A 24140-nucleotide genomic window follows, 5' to 3' on the forward strand; every position below is an offset into this window, starting at 1 on the left:
TGTTTTCTTTTCTTTCTTTTTTTCTTTTTTTTTTTTTTTTGAGAGAGTCTGGCTCTGTTGCCCAGGCTGGAGTGCAGTGGTGATCTTGGCTCACTGCAACCTCCACCTCCCCGGTTCAAGTGATTCTCCTGCCTCAGCCTCCCAAGGAACTGGGATTACAGGCACCCACCACCACGCCTGGCTAATTTTTGTATTTTTAGTAGAGACAGGGTTTCACCATATTGGCCAGGCTGGTCTCAAACTTCCAACCTGAAATGATCCACCCACCTTGGCCTCCCAAAGTGTGAGCCACTCTTACAGGTGTGAGCCACTGCACCCGGTCAGAACTTGTTTTCTGATGCTGGTAGTTGAGGTGGGTGCTATGGAGGCAATAAGTACGGACACATGAGTAAGGAGTGAGGCGATAAGTGGTCATTTTAGATTCTTTAAGGGAGTCCATCTTACCTAATTTTTTCAATAATATCACCAGAATCAATGATGGCACATCTGCATTTTTCAGTTAAAACACATAACACATTTAGGTTACAATGGAACACAGCTTTTCAATGTACTAAAATGGCTGTTTTTTTGTTTTTGTTTTTGTTTTTGTGACAGAGTCTTGCTCTGTCGCCCAGGCTGGAGTGCAGTGGCATGGTCTCAGCTCACTGCAGCCTCGGTCTCCCAGGTTCAAGCAATTCTTGTGCCTTAGCCTCCTGAGTAGCTGAGATTACAGGTGCGTGCCACCATGCCCAGCTAATTTTCTTTTCTGTTCTGGTTTTTTATTTTGTTTTGCATTTTTAGTAGAGATGGGGTTTCATCATGTTGGCCAGGCTGGTCTTGAACACCTGACTTCAAGTGATCCACCCGCCTTGGCCTCCCAAAGTGCTGAGATTACAGGCATGAGCCACCGTGCCTGGCCCTAAAATGGCTGTTTTGAGTTGACACAGAGCCATGTCCAAACACCCGTTTCCACTTCGCCTATTTAAATTTCCCTCCTGGCTCTGCAGGCATTGGAGTTTCGACCTGAGATTCTATGCCAGGCCAAGATATCTAGATTGTTTGCATTCTATATCAAAACATATAATTGGCCAGCCGCGGTATCTCACGCCTGTAATCCCAGAACTTTGGGAGGCTGAGGCGAGCAGATCACCTGAGGTTGGGAGTTCGAGACCAGCCTGACCAACATGGAGAAATCCTGTCTCTACTAAAAATATAAAAATAGCCGGGCGTAGTGGCGCATGCCTGTAATCCCAGCTACTAGGGAGGCAGAGGCAGGAGAATCGCTTGAATGAGGGAGGCAGAGGTTGCGGTGAGCTGAAATTGCGTCATTGCACTCCAGCCTGGGCAACAAGATCGAAACTCTGTCTCAAAAAAAAAAAAAAAGAGGCCGGGCGCGGTGGCTCACGCCTGTAGTCCCAGCACTTTGGGAGGCCGAGGCGGGCGGATCACGAGGTCAGGAGATCGAGACCATCCCGGCTAAAACGGTGAAACCCCGTCTCTACTAAAAATACAAAAAATTAGCCGGGCGTAGGGGCGGGCGCCTGTAGTCCCAGCTACTTGGGAGGCTGAGGCAGGAGAATGGCGTTAACCCGGGAGGCGGAGCTTGCAGTGAGCCGAGATCCCGCCACTGCAGTCCAGCCTGGGCGACAGAGCGAGACTCCGTCTCAAAAAAAAAAAAAAAAAAAAAAAAAAAAAGAAAAGAAAAGAAAAGAAAAACACATATAATTAAATTATTAAGTAAAAATTATTTGTGGCATGGTGTTTTGTAGATTTTGCCTGATCCAGAGAAAAGGTAATCAATGCATGTTTATTGACCACATCATTGATTTGTAGGAGTCAAATTATGTTAAAGTAGCCAAAGTTAATCTATCACAGAATCATAGTATTTTGTGGCTAGAAGATATTTAACAGATGACTTAGTTCAGCTCCCTTATTTAATAGATGGGAAAACAGACTCTGAGGGAGGCCAAGTGGCTTACAGAAGGCTACACAGATAGAAGTTATATATGTTATTTACAGTACATCTACTGTGGTTAAGAGAGGCCTCCTTGCATTTATTTTAGAGCGGAGTTGGTAGAAATAGTTAGATATAGCAGTTTAGAGCATGAGCTCTGGTGTCAGACAGACCTAGAGAAAATTTAAGTAAAACTTAAAATTTACTTGACTATGTATGTGCCCCTGGGATATTAGTTAATATCTTTTAGCTGTAGTCTCCTTATTGGAAAAATTGGCAAAGTTAGAGTTCAGTTTAGGGTTAGGGTTAGGGCCTCTAAGTTTTAATAATTGGTAAAGGTTATTATTATCCATTTTGTACCATCAACATGTCAACAGGAGTATAATGACTTAGATGGAGTCATATACTCCTCTCGGGAGAGATATAATTTTTTGATAGAAGCCTGGCCAACATGGCAAAACGCCATCTCTACTAAAAATACAAAAATTAGTCAGGCATGGTGGCCCACGCCTGTAGTTTCGGCTACTCTGGAGGCTGAGGCAGGAGAATCACTTGAACCCGGGAGGCAGAGGTTGCAGTGAGCCAAGATCATGCCACAGCACTCCAGCCTGATCAACAGAGTGAGACTCCGGCTCAAAAAAAAAAAAAAAAATTTTATTAAAAAAAGTTTGCTCAGGCCAGGCGCAGTGGCTCATGCCTGTAATCCCAGCACTTTGGGAGGCCGAGGCAGGCAGATCATCTGAGGTCAAGAGTTCGAAACCAGCCTGGCCAACATGGTGAAACCCTGTCTTTACTAAAAACACAAATATTAGCTGGGCGTGGTAGTGGGCTCCTGTAATCCCAGCTACTTGGGAGGCTGAGATGGGAGAACTGCTTGAACCTGGGAGGTGGAGGTTGCAGTGAGCCAAGACTGTGCCACTGATCTCCAGCCTGGGTGTCCGAGTGAGACTCCGCCTCAAAAAATGAAAAAGAAAAAGTTTGCTTTATCAATTGAATAATCTATATGCAAATAATTATGGCAAAAGTAAAAAGACTTCTTTCCTGGGGTTGTACTCACTGAGCCCTCACCCTGGAATGTTCTTTGCCTAGCCTTCCACACAGTTCTCATCTCCTTCAGGTATCTGCTCAGCTGGCACCTTCTCAGTGAAGGCTTGCTTGTCATTTTGTTTAAATGGAAACTTTGTTCCCATTTCCTGCTTTATTTTTCTCCATGACACTTACCTCCTAATAAGTAATTTTCTAATTTGCTTTGTTTATGATCTCTTGTAAATTTCATGAGTCCTAAACGGGTGCTTGGCACATATAATTTTTTTTTTTTTTTCTTGAGAGGGAGTCTCAGTCTCTCGCCTAGGCTGGAGTGCAGAGGCACAGTCTGTGCTCACTGCAGCCTCTGACTGTTGGGTTCAAGCAATTCTCGTACCTCAGCCTCCTGAGTAGCTGGGATTACAGGTGTGGGCCACCACACCTGGCTAATTTTTGTGTTTTTTGTAGAGACAGGGTTTCACCATGTCGGCCAGGTTGGTCTCAATCTCCTGGCCTCAAGTGATCCACCCAGCTTGGCCTCCCAAAGTGCTAGGATTACAGGTGTGAGCTACCACGCCCGGCTGGCATTCAATAAATCTTCGTTACTTATCCCTAAATAATAAAAAATGTGAATCATAAATCCCACTGTACTTGAGCTACTAGAATTAAAGGAGATAATTATTCTGCCAAAATGTTGTGTTTTAACACATGTATCTTCATTTCTTCTAGTGCTTTAATCCTCCTGAATTCCTGGTGTTGGGGCAATAACATGCCATGGTGGGGTTACCTCAGAGTAGGGGGTGCCTCTTTAAATGCCTGGAGGTGAATGAAAGAAGCTATTCCCAACCTAGCAGCCAGGCTGTGACTTCTGACATTGCATTTCAATGCCGTTTTTTTCTTTGCATAAAGATGTAGAAACCTGTTTAGGCTGTGGTCTACTACCAAATGTACTCATTAGAAAAAATTGCTTTTTTTTTTTTTTTGAGACGGAGTTTCACTCTTGTTGCCCAGGCTGGAGTGCAATGGCGCAATCTCAGCTCACTGGAACCTCTGCCTCCCAGGTTCAAGCAATTCTCCTGCCTCAGCCTCCCAAGTAGCTGGGATTACAGGCGCCCACCACCACGCCTGGCTAATTTTTGTATTTTTAGTAGAGATGGGGTTTCCTCATGTTGGCCAGGTTAGTCTCAAACTCCTGACCTCAGGTGATCCACCCACCTCATCCTCGCAAAGTGCTGGGATTACAGGCGTGAGCCACCACACCTGGCTTTAGAAAAAATTTCTAATGACTGGCTGTTTTCATCTTTCAGATTATTGTCTATGACTATAACATAGTATGGGGCTGGGAAAAAATAATCTTCAAAACTCTTTTCAAATATTTAACTTCTATTCAATACAATATTTGGATTTGTTCAAAAACTATGACCAGGTTTTCTTGCACTCATCAAAAGCATATTTCTTTCCAGTAGTTTCAATCATAGCTACCCATTATAATTAGGAACTTAAAAAATGAAATAACAGTGCTAAGTTCCTATCCAAAGGGAGTAGGGAGACTGGGTTATCAATGTATTTTCAAGCTCCCCAGGAATCTCTAATTTGCTTAAACCAACTTCTGCCAAATGAAAGTAATACAAATTGAGCAGTGTTTATCCACTGGGTACAGGCAAGAACCCAAATATAGCTATTTTAGGGTCATTGTGCTGTATAAGGATGATATAAGAGCCGGGCGCAGTGGCTCACGCCTGTAATCCCAGCACTTTGGGAGGCTGAGGTGGGCGGATCACCTGAGGTTGGGAGTTCGAGACCAGCCTGACTAACATGGAGAAACCTCATCTCTACTGAAAATACAAAATTAGCCGGGCGTGGTGGTGCGTGCCTGTAATCCCAGCTTCTCGGGGGGCTGAGGAAGGAGAATCGCTTGAACCCGGGAGGTGGAGGTTGCGGTGAGCCGAGATCGTGCCATTGCACTCAAGCCTGGGCAACAAGAGCAAAACTCCGTCTCAAAAAAAAAAAAGGGATAATATAAGAAATGATTCTTAGGCCTAGGTTAAACAATGAACAAACATCCACTCCTAGGCTGTATGGGGAAAAGAGAAATGTTGTAAATATCTCTCATTGCAAATGACACTATATTCCTTAGTGTTTTTCTCCTTGGACTTACCTCCAAAAAGGTACCTGACATGAGAGGAAAAAATAGAAATCGGGATTTGGATTTTATGCGAGGTTCTGGGAAAAATGTTCCTACTCTTTCCTATACAGGAACTAAGTCAAATTCAAGGCCAATGGGATTATAATTTGCTTTATGCTATAATTTGTAATGTTTAACTTTGTTTTAGCAAAAAAGTCTGATATTCAATCTTCCATTAACACTTTAGCCATAGAATCTAGACTGCTACGTGTAATTGTTAACAAACGCATGGTTTCTTTTCTTTGTTATGAATGGAACTAGACATCTCCATTAACACATTTGCTGTTTTTCTCATGCAGTAGGCTAACTGTACAGTATTTAATGGTCTACAGGTTTAAATATTTCTTATATGCCTTGGCTTGCACAGAAAGTGCTTCTGCTAAACCAGTTAATAATCTGGCCATCCCAAGAGTCCAGAATGTTGAGTTAATTTTTTACGGAGGTTCCCAGATGTATTGGAAGACTCACTCTTGGCAGACCTTGCCAATATTTTTTTTAAGATTACATTTGGCTTTTCTTGTATTTGATATGAAACACATGTTAAAAACAATACCTGACAAATATGAAATGCATTTTTCTGCATAAGCAAAAACACCATGAATACAGCTTTTACAAAGTTTTGGATGGCAGAGATACAGGGTTTTCACTGCAAAACTGGGTTAGCATTTAGGCAAGTTAATCATACATCTCGACAATGATTCTTTATCCAACATCTCTTTGGTATTCAGTGGGCAGGTCATTAGGACTATGAAGAAATAAGTGGGAGAATGTCCAGGGAATGAAAAACATCTATATAACATGTGGAGAAGTGGATAGATTTAGTGAGTATTCAACTTTAAGAGGTGCAGGTTCTGATCCCAGCCAGATCACTTGAGTTCTTAACTTCTGGGAAGTTAAGAATAATAATGTGAGTCTTTGAGTGTTTCAAGAAGATCCTGTATTAGTTGCTTCCCTTTGCAGGTATTTTCCACAGCATTTCCATGTGTTTTCTCTAGGTGCTCTGGCAGGGCATCATATGCAGCTTTATTTTTGCCTTTTCTTTCAGTCTATATTTTCTATTCTATTTATTTTTACAGGGCAATGGGAAATACTGCAATATACTGCAAGTGTCCTTTCTCTTTACGTGAATTGAATTTGTATTTTATTGTTTCTTTTTCCAGGTCTAGCCTTAGAAATTTTATAATATGGCCAGGCGCAGTGTCTCACGCCTGTAATCCCAGCACTTTGGCAGGTCGAGGCAGGTGGATCACCAGGTCAGGAGATCGAGACTATCCTGGCTAACATGGTGAAACCCCATCTCTATAAAAACACAAAAAATTAGCCAGGCGTGGTAGCACATGCCTGTAATCGCAGCCACTTGGGGACTGAGGCAGGAGAATCGCTTGAACCTGGGAGGTGGAGGTTGCAGTGAGCTGAGATGGTGACACTGCATTCCAGCCTGGAGACTCCATCTCAAAAAAAAAAAAAAAGAAAAAAGAAAGAAATCTTATAATATTTACAAAATGTAATTGTAGGCCGATGCGGTGGCTCATGGCTGATAATCCCAGCACTTTGGGAGGCCGAGGCAGGTGGATCACTTGAGGTCAGGAGTGTGAGACCAGCCTGGCCAACATGGTGAAACGCTGTCTCTACTAAAGATACAGAAAATGAGCCTGGTGTGGTGGTGCATGCCTGTGATCCCAGCTACTCAGGAGGCTGAGGCAGGAGAATCACTGGAACCAGGGAGGCAAAGGCTGCAGTGAGCTGAGATCGGACCACTGCACTCCAGCCTGGGTGACAGAGCGAGACTCCATCTCGGAAAAAAAAAAAAAAAAGAAAAGAAATATAATTGTGGATCCAGACTCTGGCCAAGGATCAAACAGACATTTAAGATATTTGAGGGCAGGAGGGTACCACTGAGGAAGAATGATGCTACCATTAACTGTCTCTAAAAAGAGGAAGTAAATGCCACTGCAATCTGCTATTGAGGTTTCCCTAGATCTGGAATATCAAGCATTTCAATTCACACTAAAGTTCAGAATAATAATTACTAATAATATTTTTAATGGAGTATTTACAATGGGCCAGGCAGATTTATTGTGTCATTATCTCAGCTGATCCTCAGAAGGACTGAGTGCTCTCAGTAGTCCCATTTCTGTGGGGAAGGGGAGTCATGGACAAGTTAGCCTTTAAAATCTTATCCAGTCTTTTATTCCTGCTTTCCAGGAGTAAAAGAAAAAAATAAATAAGTAAAAAGAAAGTGGGCCAGGCATGGTGACCTGTAATCCCAGTACTTTGGGAGGCTGAGGTGGGAGGATGGCTTGAGCCCAGGAGTTTGAGACCAGGCTGGGCAACATGGCAAAACTCCATCTCTACCAAAAAAACAAAAACAAAAAAAACAAAAAAAAACAAAAAAACACCCAAATTAGCTGTGCACAGTGGCACATGCCTGTAGTCCCAATTACTCGGGAGGCTGAAGTGGGAGGATCAATCACCTAAGCCCGGGGAGGCTGAGGCTGCAGTGAGCCAAAATCCTGCCACTTGCCACTGCACTCTAGCCTGGGTGACAGAGCGAGACCCTGTCTCAAAAAGAAAGAAAGGAAAGAAGGAAGGAAGGAAGAAGAAAAAAGAGAACAATCTTATCAAGGAAGGTGATATCAACAAAATGGTGCAATAGGAAGCTCCAAACTCCTATACCCCAACCAAAACATCAGAAAGTAAGCATAAACTGTTAAACCAAATCTGTTAAAATCTGGAAAACAGTCAAAAGTTTATAGCAACCAAGCAAATGCTGAATCCTGCCCCCCCTCATCCAAAAAGGTGTTTTTTTTTCTTTTACTTTTAAAGATTTTTATTTTGTTTTTGTTTTTTTAAATAGAGACGGGGCCGAGTGCAGTGGCGCATGCTATAATCCTAACACTTTGGGAGGCCAAGGCTGTGGATTGCCTGGAGTTTGAGACCAGTCTGGGCAACATGGTGAAACCTTGTCTCTACAAAAAAAGTACAAATAGTTAGCTAGGTGTGGTGGTACGCACCTGTAGTCCCAGCTACCTGGGAAGCTGAGGTGGGAGGATCGCCTAAGCCTCGGAAGTTGAGGCTGCAGTGAGCCATGATTGTGCCACTGCACTCAAGCCTGGGTGACAGAGTGAGACCCTGTCTCAAAAAAAAAAATAAAAATAAAAATAAATAAATAAAAAATAAGAGATGAGGTCTTGTTATGTTGTCCAGCCTAGACTCCAGCTCCTGGGCTCAAGTGATCCTCCCACTTCAGCCTCCTGAGTAGCTGGGACTGCAGGCTCATGCCACCATGCTTGGCTAATTTGTTTTTATTTTTTGTAGAGATGGGGTCTTGCTATTTTGCCCAGGCTGGCCTTGAACTCCTGGCCTCAAGCCATCCTCACACTTTGGCCTCCCAGAATGCTGGGATTACAGGTGGGAGCCACCTCACTCAGCCCCTAAGAAGACATTTTAAAATAAGTAGGAAAGCGTTGTGGTGTTTTCACTTGCTCTTTCCCCACCTCCTGCCCAGCTTAGTGGTAGTCTTAGGAGTTAGCCTCCATGGCTGGTCCCTGGTCCCTGGCTCTGGCATGTATGTCTTTATTTATTTATTTTTTTGAGATGGAGTCTCACTCACTCTGTCACCCAGGCTGGAGTACAGTGGCACAATCTCAACTCACTGCAACCTCCGCCTCCCAGATTCAAGTGATTCTCCTGCCTCAGCCTCCTGAGTAGCTGGGATTACAGGCGTCCACTACCATGCCTGGCTAATTTTTGTATTTTTAGTAGAGATAGGGTTTCACCATCTTGGCCAGGCTAGTCTTGAACTCCTGACCTCAGGTGATCCACCCGCTTGGCCTCCCAAAGTGCTGGGATTACAGGCGTGGGCCACCGTGCCTGGCTGTGGCATGTATGTCTTTTCTAAACTATCTGGAGCTATCTGAAGGACTAATGCAAGGTGCCTGACACTCACTCAGGACAGAAAAGTGGAGGGCATTGCTGGAAAAGCTTTTAAGGCAGATATACAAACTGAAGCTGGCTGAGACAAAAGATTACACCTAAAGCCAAGAAGGAAAAGCATGTTGTCCTAAAGTGCTTTACATTTACTTGCTCACTTTATGCTCACAACATCCCTATGAGGAAGGTATAATTGTCACCATCCCCATTTTACAGTTGAGGAAACTGAAATAACTGGGAAAAGTAAATGCAGTTAGCTTTTAATCACTTCATCACATTGACTCCAAATACGCACGTACTAAAAGCAAAATGAACCAGGTAACAACTAAAACACATATAGTAAATGAGTAATAAATCTTATTTGAAAATTATACTTTAAATATATTTCTTTTAACTCTAGTATTTATTACTGCCTTAGTAACCTCTTTGAAATAGAAGACTGAATGGAATTCATTCTTTTTTTTTTTTTTTTTTTTTTTTTTGGAGACGGAGAGTCTTGGTCTGTCACCCAGGCTAGAATGCAGTGGCACGATCTCAGCTCACTGCAACCTCCACCTCCCGGGCTCAAGCAATTCTCCCTGCCTCAGCCTCCCGAGTAGCTGGGATTACAGGTGCCTGCCAGCATGCCCAGCTAATTTTTGTATTTTTGTAGAGATGGGTTTTCACCATGTTGGCCAGGCTGGTCTCGAACTCCTGACCTCAGGTGATCCACCCGCCTCGGCCTCCCAAAGTGCTGGGATTACTGGCATAAGCCACTGCACCTGACCGGAATTCATTCTTGATAGCATCAGTATTTGCTTTCTTCCCAGATAGTACATAGTACTGTTTTTATTATGAATTTTTTTGTGGGAAAATAGAGATGATAAAATAGGAAACCTTTCCACAAAGCTATGGTTAATATTAGTTAGAAGTAAATTTTCATTTCTAGAACATAACATTGAAAAAAGGTAAGAGGGGCATAGAGAAGGCAAAAGAATATACTTCTTGAATAAACAAGTATTTCTAATGCTTATTATTTATAACTTAGATATCCCCAGACTGTAAACTGTAGAAGAAGGGACTGTGTCCTGAGTTATTCAGAAGCCAATTTTTTGTGCCTTAGCATAACAGTATAGGAATATTGGCCATAGTAGTCGATCAGTGGAGACTTGTTGAGTGAATGAATGATAGACATGCTTTTTACTTGTATATCAAGTTATTACTGGGCTCTGCGCAAAGGCAGAAGTGGATCCTATGTAAACAGATACGGGTGTTTGCTTATGATACCTTATTTTTAATGTACCCCAAGATCCCCCATGGAGAATTTCAAATGCTGTTTATAAAAGGAAAGAAAATTCAGGTCTTGTAGTTGTTCTTTTTTTTTTTTTTTTTTTTGAGACGGAGTCTCGCTCTTTCACCCAGGTGGGACTGCAGTGGCGCGATCTCCGTTCACTGCAAGCTCCGCCTTCCGGGTTCACGCCATTCTCCTGCCTCAGCCTCCTGAGTAGCTGGGACTACTGGCGCCCGCCACTGCGCCCAGCTAATGTTTTGTATTTTTAGTAGAGACGGGGTTTCACCGTGGTCTCGATCTCCTGACCTCGTGATCCGCCCGCCTTGGCCTCCCAAAGTGCTGGGATTACAGGCGTGAGCCACCGCGCCCAGCGCGGGTCTTGTAGTTGTTCTTGCTACAAATTACTGGGCCTGCAGAAGAGAGATACTAGGGAGGAGATTTACAGCAAGGCTTTGTCGCACATATATTGTTCTTGTTCGTCATCTTGACTTGGTCTGTAAACGTCCCTTTCCCTTCCCGTTAAACTTAACAAGAATAAGCCTGTATCCTGGATTAGGTGGCAAAGGTATTTGAAATAAAAATAAAGAATTTTAAGAAATTAAAAAAGAATAAGCCTGTAGCACCCAGATGCATAAAGGAAAATGGATCTAAACAGTTTATTACTTAAACAGCTGCTAAAGTCATCTCATCCTTGTTCCATTTACTCCATAACCACACAAACGTGACAATTCCATTTAGATTGGTCACATGTGCTTAATGTCTTAAAGGAAATGAATGAATATATTTTCTGAACACTCATGGAAGTGATCCATTTTTATACAAAATCAATTTTTGAGGGGAAAGGTAATTCCTGATTATCAAAGAAGTGGCCAGGGAAGAAAAGATCTGCCCCCATGCTTCATTAACCACCACCAGCAGTTTCAGGTGGGTTCTTTCAGAAAATGCGCATGCATATACATGAATATATCTGCGGTGAGTTCCTCTTTGTTTGTGTGTGTGCCCAGGTGCTCACATGTACATCTCTGGTCTTTATTTTCTGTAGAGAATAGTCAGAATGAGGCCCCAGGGTCAGGAATGGAAAAATCAGGTAAAAAGAAAAGAAAACATCTTTTTTTTTCCTTAAAAAGAAAACATCTTGTTTAGAATTTTTGGAATTTCTTTCTAAGCTTAATCTTTCTTTTATTAACACTTTGTTCTCAACTTAAAGCCATTAAAAAGCCTATATGCAAAAAATAAAATAAATCAGCTCAAGGCATAAGAATTTGATATACAGCTGGGTGGTAATTAACAGGACTTGACCTTACAATAATTAGATGCTGAGAAAGACTGGAGCACAGCAGCTCAGAACACAGCAGTTTATGTAACTCTCCTGGAGAAGAGTTAGGCTTTACCCCTTGATGCTATGAAAAATCAGCCTCAAAGATTATTGAGGCAGATCAAAATTTAGAGCCGCACACGGCACCTCACACCTGTAATTCCAGCATTTTGGGAGGCTGAGGCAGTAGGATTACGTGAGCCCAAGAGTTTGAGACCAGTCTGGGCAACATAGTCAGACCCCATTGTGTTAGTCAGCTTTCATACTGCTATAAAGAACAGCCTGAGACTGGGTAATTTATAAAGGAAAGAGTTTTAATTGACTCACAGTTCATCATGGCTGGAGAGGCCTCAGGAAATTCACAATCATGTCAGGAGGCAAAGGGGAAGCAAGATGCCTTCCTCACAAGGCGGCCGGAAGAAGTGCCGAGAAAGGGGAAAGAGCCTCTTACATAACCATCAGCTGTGGTGAGAATTCACTCACTATCATCAAAAGAGCAGAGGGAAAACCGCCCCCCCATGATTCAGTTACCTCCACCTGGTCTCTCCTTGCCATGTGGGGATTATGGGGATTACAATTCAGGAGGAGATTAGGCTTTCTGTTCAGGTGGGAACAAAAAGCCTAATCGTATCATCCATCTCTACAAATAAAATAAATTAGGCTGAGAGCAGTGGCTCATGCCTGTAATCCCAGCACTTTCGGAGGCCGAGGCAGGCAAATCACTTGAAGTCAGGAGTTCCAGACCAGCCTGGCCAACATGGTGAAACCCTGTCTCTACTAAAAATACAAAAATCAGCTGGGCGTGGTGGCACGTGCCTGTAATTCCAGCTACTCGGGAGGCTAAGGCAGGAGAATCACTTGAACCTGGGAGGCAGAGGCTGTAGTGAGCCAAGATCACACCACTGCACTCCAGCCTGGGGAACAGAGAAAGACGCTGACTCAAAAAAATGAAATGAAATGAAATAAATTAGCCAGGAGTAGTGGTACACGCCTGTGGTCCCAGCTACTCAAGAGGTTAAGGTGGAAGGATTGCTTGAGCTGGGGAGGTTAAGGCTGCAGTAAACTGTGATTGCATTACTGCATGCCAGTCTCCGTGACAGAGTGAGAATCTGTATTAAAAAAAATAAACCAAAATCCCAAAAGATAACTTGGGACTGTGTAGTGGCTTATTACTACATTCCTCAATGATCCAAGCTACTCATTGAAAACCTAAAGTGGAAAATGCTTTGTCCACATATATTAAATAATACATATATTTCTTTCTCCACCCTGTAAAAAGAGAGTTAGCAATAATGCTATTTGGTTAGAATATGCAGTGTGAAAATAAAATGATATTCATAATAATTACACAGAACTAATTTTTTAAATGGCAATATTCAATGCTGGCAAGGGTTCGGTAATGCTGGTATTCTCATAGGTTGCTCACTGTATTTTCATTTTTAAAACATTTTCTGAAAGCTATCACAAAATATTTTAGGAGCTTTAAATGCTCAATATTTTTATCCCAGTTGTCTCACTTTAGGTAATTTATCTCAAATAAATAATTCATAAATCTATATGCACAAAGCCATCTTGACACTATTTATAATTGCAAAACACTGGTACTTAATGCAGAAATGGTTGAGTAAAGTATGGCATATCCACTATTTACATGGTATCTATAAAGTGTTTTTAATAGTATGGAAGGCCAGGTGTGGTGGCTCACACCTGTAATCCCAGCACTTTGGGAGGCCAAGGCAGGTAGATCACCTGAGGTCAGGAGTTGAAGACCAGCCTGGCCAACATGGTGAAACCCTGTCTCTACTAAAAATACAAAAATTAGCCAGGCGTGGTGGCAGAAGCCTGTAATCCAGCTACCCAGGAGGTTGAGGCAGGAGAATTGCTTGAACCTGGGAGGTGGAGGTTGCAGTAAGCCAAGATTTTGCCACTGCACTCCAGCCTGGGTGACAGAGTGAGACTTCATCTCAAAAAAAAAAAAAAAATACTATGGAGAAACATTACCTATATTAAGTTAAATAAAAGAAATCACGATAGAGCTGGGCACGGTGGCTCACGCCTATAATCCCAACACTTTGGGAGGCTGAGGCAGGTGGAGCACGAGGTCGAGAGTTCGGACCAGCCTGGCCAAGATGGTGAAACCCCATCTCTAGTAAATTACAAAAATTAGCCAGGCATGGTGGCAAGTGCCTGTAATCCCAGCTATTCGGGAGGTTGAGGCAGGAGAATCACTTGAACCTGGGAGGCAGAGGTTGCAGTGAGCCAGGATCTCACCACTGTACTCTAGCCTGGGCGATAGAGCAAGACTCTGTCTCAAAAAAAGAAAGAAGAAAAAGAAAGAAAGAGAAAGAAAGAAAGAAAGAAAGAAAGAAAGAAAGAAAGAAAGAAAGAAAGAAAGAAAGAAAGAAAGAAAGAGAAAGAAAAAGAAAAGAAAGAAGAGGGAGGGAGGGAGGGAAGGAAGGAAAGAAGTAAATAAATCACAATAAAAATTATATTTCAGGCTGGGTGCGGTGGCTGACACCTGTAATCCCAGCACTTTGGGAGGCCGAGGTGGGCAGATCAATTGAGTCCAGGAGTTCGAGACCAGCCTGGCCAACATGGCGAAAACTCGTCTCTGCTAAAAATACAAAAATTAGCTGGGTGTGGTTGTGGGGGCCGGTAATCCCAGCTACCTGGGAGAATGAGGCAGGGAAAATTACTTGAACCCGGGAGGCAGAGGTTGCAGTGAGCCGAGATGGCACCACTGCACTCCAGCCTGGGCGACAGAGTGAGACTCCACCTCAAAAAAAAAAAAAAATGTATTTCAGCTGTGTATAGAACAGATAAGTCAATGTAGGAAACAATGTTTATTGTGTTCATGTAGTGGGAGTACGGATGCTCTTGTTTTCTATTTCTTCAATTTTTAATAATATTTTAATATTATATTCATAATTTAAAATTTATCTAGCATCTATATCTCTAAGTTTATCTATCTACATACTTTATGTTTTCATTTTTTAACCCTCTATCTCTATACTTTAGTATAAAAAGAATAGCTTTGTGAAAGTTTAGGAAATGGAGTAGAGAGATGAGTTTCATGATTACAAAACGTTGTATTATTATTAAAAAAGAAAGATGTGCATTTGAGCCCGCTTTCTCATACTTCTTTCAGTGTAAAACTATTGATGAACTTGAATGCATTTGTATCCCACTTATAGTCTTCAATTCTAATTTGGTGTTCTGGTAGAGTTTCTCTGGACTTTTGCAAAAATAAAGCTCTCTCATACTAGTTCAAGAGATGGTTCATGTTGCGTCACTGGGTAAAGAGGAACAGGTAGTGTCAAAGTTCCCTTCTGAGGATTCTCCTTTAGGTCCCATGAGCATCAATCATTATTTCTATTGACTAGTTTCCCCAATAACTTTCTCCCAAAGTAAATGAAAATCCACATGCCAGGGCAGCACTATGTTGAACTTGTCAAAGACCAATACTGAATATGCCAGACACGGTTATCTTCAGCTACCATTTTGAAGGCCTGAACCCTCATAGAGGTATTAACGAACTCGAAATTGCATACTTGCATATGTTGTAATCATTTTCACCCTGCTTTCCAAAAAGAAAAAGAAGAAAAAAGCAATAAATATGGGATTTAAATATAATTCATGCAGAAATAGGCCAAAACATTCCTAAAGACTCTAAATTTATTCCTAATCACACTGATGCCAAACTAAATTGGCATGGTTATTCTACTAGATTCTGATTCTTTTTTTTTTTGGCCAGAAATTTGCTGGAAAAACACAGAACTGGAAAATCCATCCAAGATTAAACAGAGGAAAAATATTAGAAAAAAATATTAAATAGAGGAACAAAAACCTATTTTAGTTGTAGTTATAAATTTCTAGAAATTCATCTTTGAATTTAGAGAAATACATCAGTGTCATAGTAAAATAACCTTTATTCTTTATAGACACCCTTTTCTGAAACCAAGCAGTTGTATTCAAAACAAGTCCAAATTTAAGCAAGAAAAAATTGTTTTAATAATAGAACATTTTAAAAAACCAATGTATTTCTGGCCAAGAGTGGTGGCTCACGCCTGTGATTCCATCACTCTAGGAGGCCGAGGCAGGCAGATCACCTGAGTGATCAGAAGTTCAAGATTAGCCTGGCCAACATGGTGAAACCCCATCTCTACTAAAAATACAAAAAATTAGCCTGGTGTGGTGGCATGTGCCTGTAATCCCAACTACTCAGGAGGCTGAGGCAGGAGAATCGCTTGAACCCCAGAGACAGAGGCTGCAGTGAGCCAAGATCGTGCCACTGCACTCCAGCCTGGGCAAGAGAGCAAGGCTCTATTTCAAAAAAGAGAAAATAAAATACAAATAAAAAACCAATACATTTCTAGCTTGTAACTAGAAGGAGAGACAAAAAGACCAACTTAAAAATAGTAAGTGTAATGAGAGTATGATGTGAAGGAGCTGTTAAGTGATCTCAAATTAATGGTGCTCAGAAATGTGAACTTCTGGAATTCACGTTTAAAGACTAATTGGAGGGCCGGGTGTGGTGGCTCATGCCTGTAATCCCAGTATTTGGGAGGCCGGGGCGGGTGGATCACCTGAGGTCAAGAGTTTGAGACCAGTCTGGCCAACATGGTGAAACCCCATCTCCACTAAAAATACAAAATTAGCCAGGTGTGGTGATGCATGCCTGTAATCCCAGCTACTCAGGAGGCTGAGGCAGGAGAATGGCTTGAACCTGGGAGGTGGAGGTTGCAGTGAGTTGAGATTGCGCCATTGCACTCCATTCTGGGCAACAAGAGTGAAACTCCATCTTATAAATAGATAAATAAATAAGACTAATTGGAAAACTTGGAAATTATTTAGAAGACAGCTCCAAGGATGGCAAAATGAGTCAAGTATTGGAAAAAAAGACCAATGAGGAGAGGCAAACAAGACATAATTAATTTTCTTGAAGAGAAGACCAAATGACAATTGAAGAAGACAGTCTATGAATTTATAGAGAGCTTTATATACAGACAGGGTTGGTTATCATCGCTGAGTATAAAACAAGGGAAACAGGCTTGGTGTGTAGCATAATGGCTTTGTTCGACACAGTAAAGCTAACTAAATGTCAAAATAAGATGCAGGTGGAGGTTGAGCAGTCTTTTCTAAAGCCATGAATAATAAGATAGCAGCTTCTTTGTATGGCTCTGACTGAAGGTGAGAGATGTGCTATGTAAGCTTTCACATCGCTTCCAGGGCTAAGATTCAGGTCCTTGGGGAATATCTTCCTGAATTCAGGGAGTTAATGCCAACTCTGAAATCAAATTACTGGAACATAGTAAAGAAAGCGGGGGGAGGAAGCAACTAGAATCAAGATGAAAATGTAACTTCAAACCCTGTTTAGAAAAAAATAATGAGATTACTTTAAAATAATAAAATTTATTATTAAAAATTTAGAGAAGTTTTGACAAGGAGGAAGTGGAAAAAATAGATATTTTTATTTATTTATTTATTTATTTATTTATTTATTTATTTATTTATTTTTGAGACAGTTTCCCTCCTGTTGCCCAGGCTGCAGGGCAATGGCACGAGCTCGGCTCACTGCAACCTCCACCTCCAGGGTTCAAGTGATTCTCCTGCCTCAGCCTCTCGAGTAGCTGGGACTACAGGCATGCACCACCATGCCTGGCTAATTTTTTTTGTATTTTTGGTAGAGAAGGGGTTTCACCATTTTGGCCAGGCTGGTCTCAAACTCCTGACCTCAGGTGATCCTCTCTCCTCGGTCTCCCAAAGTGCTGGGATTATAGGTGTGAGCCGCCGCACCTGGCCATAGATATTTTAGATAAGGAACAAGATCAAGCATTAAACTGTGAACAAGGTATTTCTAATTAACTAATTTTTTTTTTCAAACACAGCCTTAGGAAACGTGACTCCAACCATGGAGAGTTTAGGTCAGCCCTGATTTTGAGGCCACATGCTCCATCCTCACAGGTGGGTGAGGTCCCTTAGTTGGTATTGTTTGATGATTCTATTAGTTCTTGACTTTTCTGTATATATTTTAATGTACAGTAAAGGGATTGTAGTATTGGCAGGTTTGTCCCAAAATAGACTGTGAGTCAGTTATGAAGGAGGGGGATTCCAGGAACTAGAATTTAAGAGTGAGGAAGTTAAACACAAATTTACATATGACTCAGTACTAACACATTTTACATAATATTGGGTACTTTCTCTTCCTGTAATTGCCTCTATGCTTCATTTGTTGTTTTCACCAATAGCCCTAAATAAGTGGTTTTAAAAAACATTAAGGGAGGCTGGTAGATCACGCCTGTAAGCACTTTTGGGAAGCTGAGGTGGGCGAATTGCTTGAGCCCAGGAGTTCAAGACCAGCCTGGGCAAGATGGCGAAACTCCGTCTCTACAAAAAATACAAAAATTAGCTGGGCATGGTGACACGTGCCTGTAGCCCCAGCTACTTGGGAGGCTGAGATGGGAGGATCACCTGAGTCTTTGAGGTTGAGGCTGCAAAGAACAACAATCTCCCCACTGCACTCCAGCCTGGATGACAGACCGAGACTCTATCTCAAAAATAAATAAGTAAATAATGAATTTTAAACACACACACACACAGACCCACACACAACCATTAAGGGATGACTAATTTGGGGTGTCTTGCCAGCAATTCAAATGTCTAAAATAGCCTTATTCTAGCATTGAATGTTAAAGCCTTTTTCTTTAGACAGACTAATTGCAGAATGAAATGGTTTGCTACCTGTTGAGCTCCAATTCTCCCCTTCTCAAAAAATCAAGAGGCTATGAACTCGCAAGTGTTAATGGGATTCAGATAGAAGCCATCACTGCTATTTTAAATTTTCCTGTGTCTCCCACTAACATTATATCCAAACATCAAAACATCCACAACAATCATCCCCAAGGTTGCTGCTGTATTATTTATAAATGAACACATTGTTGGGTGAATACATTCCACTTTTGAAATTAATTTTCTTTTTCTTTTTCTTTTTTTTTTTTTTGAGATGGGGTCTCACTCCGTCACCCAGTTTGGAATGCAGTGGCGCGATCTCAGCTCACTGCAACCTCTGCCTCTGGGGCTCAAGCGATCCTCCTACCTTAGCCTCCCAAACAGCTAGGACTGCTGGCACATGCCACCATGCCCGGCTAATTTTTTTGCATTTTTGGTAGAGACAGGATTTCACCATGTTGCCCAGGCTGGTCTCAAACTCCTGAGCCCAGGTGATCTACCCACTCTGGCCTCCCAACGTGCTAAGATTACAGTCATGAGCCACTGTGCCTGGCCTGAAATTAATTTTCACTGGTTTATTTTCATAAAATAACGCTGGACACAGTGGCTCATGCCTGTAATCCCAGCACTTTGGGAGGCCAAGGCAGGCAGATCACTTGAGGTCAGGAGTTTGAGACCAGCCTGGCCAACATGGTGAAACCCCATCTTTATGAAAAATACAAAAAATTAGCCAGGCGTGGTGGCATGCGCCTGTGATCCCAGCTACTCAGGAGGCAGAGGGAGGAGAATCGCTTGAACCCGGGAAGGCAGAGGTTGCAGTGAGCCAAGATCGTGCCACTGCACTCCAGCCTGAGTGACAGTGAGGCTCTGTCTGAAAAACTAATAAATAAATAATATTTTCATAAAATAAACTCAATTTCAGTTACATACAGTTTTTTAGGAAAGTGCTTTTCTTTTGTAGCTTTGTTTTTTCCGTCCTATTGCATAGTCTGGCTTCACTGAAATAGCTTTCCACCAAAATATTCTCTTCTCTCAAGCAATAGTATACTGAAGAGAACAAGTAAGTTATTTATTTGCAAGCCCATAGGATTTAAATTAGAATAAACTTGTCCTTGAGAATAATATACTCTAAATAATTCATATGAGTCACAAAATTTTATACCAGAAAAAGTGTGTAAAAAACATCTTATTCCCCAATATTATGATTCCCTCAGTTTGTATGACTTAATAATTCTTTTTTTAGAGTATAATTGTTCCAGAGTTCAGAAATTTTTAAAAGAGATTATCTGTATCTCTGGGAAAAGATTGACTTCCAGCTGGAAAGATAATCTTTTCTTCCATTTTCCCACCTTTTGCATCAGAAAAGTAAACAACCGATTTCCTGACTAAATACACCTGGATTATTTCTCAAGAGAGCAAGAAATGGGTTGATTTATGCATTAGAAAAGTGACCATAAGGTCGTGGAGAATCAATGACTTTAGATGTAGGAAGGATCTTGGAAATCTAGTTCAACTCCCTCATAAATGACAAGGATTAGATATAAAAAGTGCTTTTAAGAGGCCTATTAGCATCAGGAATGAGGTAAGTCCCTTTTCAGCATTAATTACAGTAACTGCTGTATAAAGAAAGGGGATTCTGGCAACTGCTCTCCACATGGCAGAAATTCAGGACAGACTTGAAATCAAAGAAGTAGGGGCTAAAGTCTAATGAACTGACATAAAACTTTTTTTAATTGGAACTAAAGAATATTAATTCTCTCACATGATTCCCAAAGTCAGTGTTTTTTTTTTTAATTCTCTCGAAACTTTCATGCATCAAAAGATGGTTCCAACATACAAGCATGGAAATAATTAGTGCTTTTAATTAGTACAACTGGGAAATAAGGCATACCAGCCTTAATAAGGGTCTCCAATGTGGAACACATTAAAGTAAAAACAATTTTTTCCTAATATCAAAGTGCATTCTACCGACTAACAGAAAATGAGTTACTCTGCAAAATGGAGAGTATAATCGGATTCAGAACAAGTTCAAAGTATTAAGAAAGGAGATGCCATGAACTGTGGGACTTGAGAATTAGATCGTCTCAGACGGCCACCAATCTATTTTTCAGAACACACTATCCATATCGTAGGGTTTAACTATTAAACTGTAAATATTCTAAAATACTTCATAATGCCTATTTTGTGAATCAGAATTGAAGATGAAAATGGTCAAATATATTAGAAGCATGCTAAACAGCATTTCAGAACAGTCTAACAGCTGAACGCATACTTGGCAAGAAGAGAGCTGCTGTCACATTACCTCAGACCAACAGTAGCAAGCACATCTGGAATCCTAATGATCCCAGGAGCTTTTGGGCATTTGAAGGACAGCCATCTGGTGCAAAGGAAGTCTGGACAAAGTGTCCCACCCAACAGAAAGAACCTCATTGTGCTGCTATGAAAAGCAGCTGGCCCCACTTCCCTCTGATAATACACCACCTTCTCAACTGGTGAGTGATCAAGAGAAATCCATTATGTGCACAAAGTGCTCACTAGCTGACCTGGATCTAAAACCATGACAACCTGGCAGATAAGACGCAGTCAGAGATATATTTGTGAAATAAATCCCTTTTTGAAAGGGCGTCAGCAAATTCTGCTACCTCTGTCTAACCTTTCAGCAACTGATGTAGATAGTATCAGCCTATGGGCTCTTCTAGGTCTCAATTCTTTATCTGTAAAATTAAGAGATTGGGCTACGCACATTTTACGGCCCTTTTTAGTTCTAACATCCCATCAGCTTGTGATTTTACAGAAAATACTGTAGCGCCAAAAGAATGGATGACCAAAGAACAAGGGATGACAGCAGACATTTGAAGGTGGCCCCTGCATGTTGCTTGATGGCATTGGATCATTGAGGGGACAAGGTTGCACTCAAAGATGACCTCTCATTTGTAAATGTGTCTTATCATCTTGCAAGCAAATTAAGCCAGTGTTATCTTTGCTCTAACCTATCTGCAAATTATGCACAGCATGTTGGGTCTGCCCCACATTAAACACACTGCAGGACTCTCAAGTAGATGAAGGCAGACATGCAGCTTCAGCAGACCATGATGGTGAGGCAGTGGATAAGAGAAATGATTGAAGGTCATGAGAGGGAGGAGAGCATGACAGGGATGGGAAGCGAGGACATCAGGGCACAGAAAGCCCTAGTCAGGAGGGAACTGCAGGCCAGGCGCAGTGGCTCACGCCTGTAATCCCAGCACGTTGGGGGGCCATGATGTGCGGATCACTTGAGGCCAGGAGTTCAAGACCAGCCTGGCCAACATGGTGAAACCCTGTCTTTACCAAAAATACCAAAATTAGACAGGGATGGTGACCGACGCCTATAGTCCCAGCTACTGGGGAGGCTGAGGCAGGAGAATCGCTTGAACCTGGGAGGCAGAGATTGCAGTGAGCTGAGATCACGCCACTGCACTCCAGCCTGGGCGACAGAGTGAGACTCCATCTCAAAAAAAAAAAAAAAAAAAAAAGAGGGAACTGGAGAGTTTAAACACCTACAGGAGGAGGAATTTAGGATAATTGTAAGATCCAATAAATAACCATGTCAGTAGATTTATGGAGGAATGGAGCTAGAGATGTATAGTGAAAGAGTCTAAAAATATAATGTAGGGAAAGGCATTTTGGCCAGTTAAATATTGTTCGGAATCCTGGCTCTGCCGCTGAATATCCTGTATATTCCTGGACTTGTTAAATAATGTATTTTCCTCATCAGCAAATTGGAAATAATGCTATCTCTTACATACAGTAGTTGTGGAAATTAAATGAGATAATGCATGTCAAGTGCTGAAGATACTTATTGGTGCACAGTAGACATTCAAAAATGATATATTAGTTGTCATTATTCCTAGTACTGTTATTCTTGTTAGCTGAATAATGAGAACAAATATTGAAATTCCCCAGAATGGTTGTTTGTGAACAAGTAGAGAGAAAAACGATTACATCAGGCACCAAGATTAAAGGAAGTGTCTTCGAGGTTAGTAGATGATGACAGTGAGGGCAGAGGAAGGGTGGGTGTGGTTGAGCAAAGTTGGCGAAGTTCTTGAAAGTCAAGTTAGTGCCCGCCGAACTCTTGGCTCTGAGCCAGACAAGACTGGAGAAGAAGCCCTTTCTGCTTGAGGGCATCAGAGAAAATGTTTCATCTTTAGTAGAAAATCAAATCTCAATTAAGGCAGCACTTTCCTGAAGATGTTTCTTTTCTTTTTTTCTTTTTTTTTTTTTTTTTTTGAGACAGGGTCCAGTTCTGTCACTCAGACTGGAGTGCAGTGGCATGATCTCGGCTCACTGCAGTCTCAGACTCCCTGGCTCAAGCAATTCGACCACCTAAGCCTCCTGAGTAGCTGGGACTACAGGCATCCACTACCACATCCGGCTATTTTTTATATTTTCTGTAGAGATAGGGTTTCACCATGTTGCCCAGGCTTCTCTTGAACTCCTGAGCTCAAGTGATCTGCTGCCTTGGCCTCCCAAAGTGCTGGGATTGCAGGTGTGGGTCAATGGACCCAGGCTCTGAAGATGTTTTTTTCTTTTTAGAGATGGAGTCTCGCTTTGTTTTCCAGGCTGGTCTCAAACTCTAGGCCTCAGGTGATCCTGCCACCTCGGCCTCCCAAAATGCTGGTGTGAACCACCCTGCCCAGCCCAAAGATGCTTTTGGTCTGATCTATCTGGGGAATGCTGAGCCTCTCCCTCCTCGGAATTTGTAAGAGTGCACACCCAAATGCAGGCTCTACGAAGTCTGTCTTCCTAGATTGAAATCACATGTAGCCAACAAACTTGTTTATTTATTTATTTATTTTTTGAGATGGAGTCTCGCTCTGTCACCCAGGCTGGAGTGCAGTGGGACAATCTCGGCTCGCTGCAAGCTCCGCCTCCCGGGTTCAGGCCATTCTCCTGCCTCAGCCTCCCGAGTAGCTGGGACTACAGGCGCCCGCCACCACACCCGGCTAATTTTTTGTATTTTTAGTAGAGACGGCGTTTCACCGCGTTAGCCAGGATGGTCTCGATCTCCTGACCTCGTGATCCGCCCACCTCGGCCTCCCAAAGTGCTGGGATTACAGGCATGAGCCACCGTGCCCAGCCTTGTTTTATTATATGAAGTTACAATCCTGTGTCACAAGATGGGAGGGCAGAGGGAGGATTTTGAGGAAAGCTTAATGACCGAATGGTGTTTACTGTCAGGAGTCCCAGAGGAAAGGGAGAGAAGGGATTAATGTGGCTAAGTGAGAAACAAGATAGGCCAGAGACAAGTGAGGTTAAAACTGCATGAAGGGATTGAGCAAGTGGAAGCAATGACCAACGTGCTGGTGCTCATGAACCGCAGAGGGAAGAAAGGGAGCAACTAGGAATTTTGAAATTAGGAATAAGGCTGGGCGCGGTGGCTCACGCCTGTAATCCCAGCACTTTGGGAGGCCAAGGTGGGCAGATCACCTGAGGTCAGGAGTTCGAGACCAGCCTGGCCAACGTGGCAAAACCCTGTCTCTACTAAAAAACAAAAAATTAGCCAAGTGTGGTGGCACGTGCCTGTAATCCCAGCTACTCGGGAGGTTCAGGAAGGAGAATCGCTTGAACCTGGGAGGCGGAGGTTGCAGCGAGCTGAGATCGCGCCATTGCACTCCAGCTTGGGCAACAGAGTGAGACTCCGTCTCAAAAAAAAAAAAGAATTAGGAATAAGAGTGAGGGAAATGGGCAACTTGGGCCAGTAGCAGAGCTGTTT

At 42.2% G+C, this 24140-nt stretch overlaps 1 protein-coding gene across 1 annotated transcript in view, besides 5 other annotated features; it reads right to left on the minus strand.

Annotated features, from left to right (window-relative positions):
* The window catches only part of SGK1 (serum/glucocorticoid regulated kinase 1), a 148857-nt gene that overhangs the window by 49158 nt on the left and 75559 nt on the right, over window positions 1-24140 (minus strand). The gene's annotated exons all lie outside the window — the stretch shown is intronic.
* Window positions 17388-17547: an enhancer, noted in NCBI's record as "active region_25082". NCBI's record gives its function as "activates an Ori minimal core promoter by ATAC-STARR-seq in GM12878 lymphoblastoid cells {active_cell/tissue: GM12878}" and the evidence as "EXISTENCE:reporter gene assay evidence [ECO:0000049][PMID:35858748]".
* Window positions 17588-17877: an enhancer, noted in NCBI's record as "active region_25083". NCBI's record gives its function as "activates an Ori minimal core promoter by ATAC-STARR-seq in GM12878 lymphoblastoid cells {active_cell/tissue: GM12878}" and the evidence as "EXISTENCE:reporter gene assay evidence [ECO:0000049][PMID:35858748]".
* Window positions 18018-18067: an enhancer, noted in NCBI's record as "active region_25084". NCBI's record gives its function as "activates an Ori minimal core promoter by ATAC-STARR-seq in GM12878 lymphoblastoid cells {active_cell/tissue: GM12878}" and the evidence as "EXISTENCE:reporter gene assay evidence [ECO:0000049][PMID:35858748]".
* Window positions 22439-22498: an enhancer, noted in NCBI's record as "active region_25085". NCBI's record gives its function as "activates an Ori minimal core promoter by ATAC-STARR-seq in GM12878 lymphoblastoid cells {active_cell/tissue: GM12878}" and the evidence as "EXISTENCE:reporter gene assay evidence [ECO:0000049][PMID:35858748]".
* Window positions 22539-22588: an enhancer, noted in NCBI's record as "active region_25086". NCBI's record gives its function as "activates an Ori minimal core promoter by ATAC-STARR-seq in GM12878 lymphoblastoid cells {active_cell/tissue: GM12878}" and the evidence as "EXISTENCE:reporter gene assay evidence [ECO:0000049][PMID:35858748]".

Source organism: Homo sapiens, chromosome 6 (genome assembly GCF_000001405.40).
Source record: "Homo sapiens chromosome 6, GRCh38.p14 Primary Assembly".
Taxonomy (NCBI): domain Eukaryota; kingdom Metazoa; phylum Chordata; class Mammalia; order Primates; family Hominidae; genus Homo; species Homo sapiens.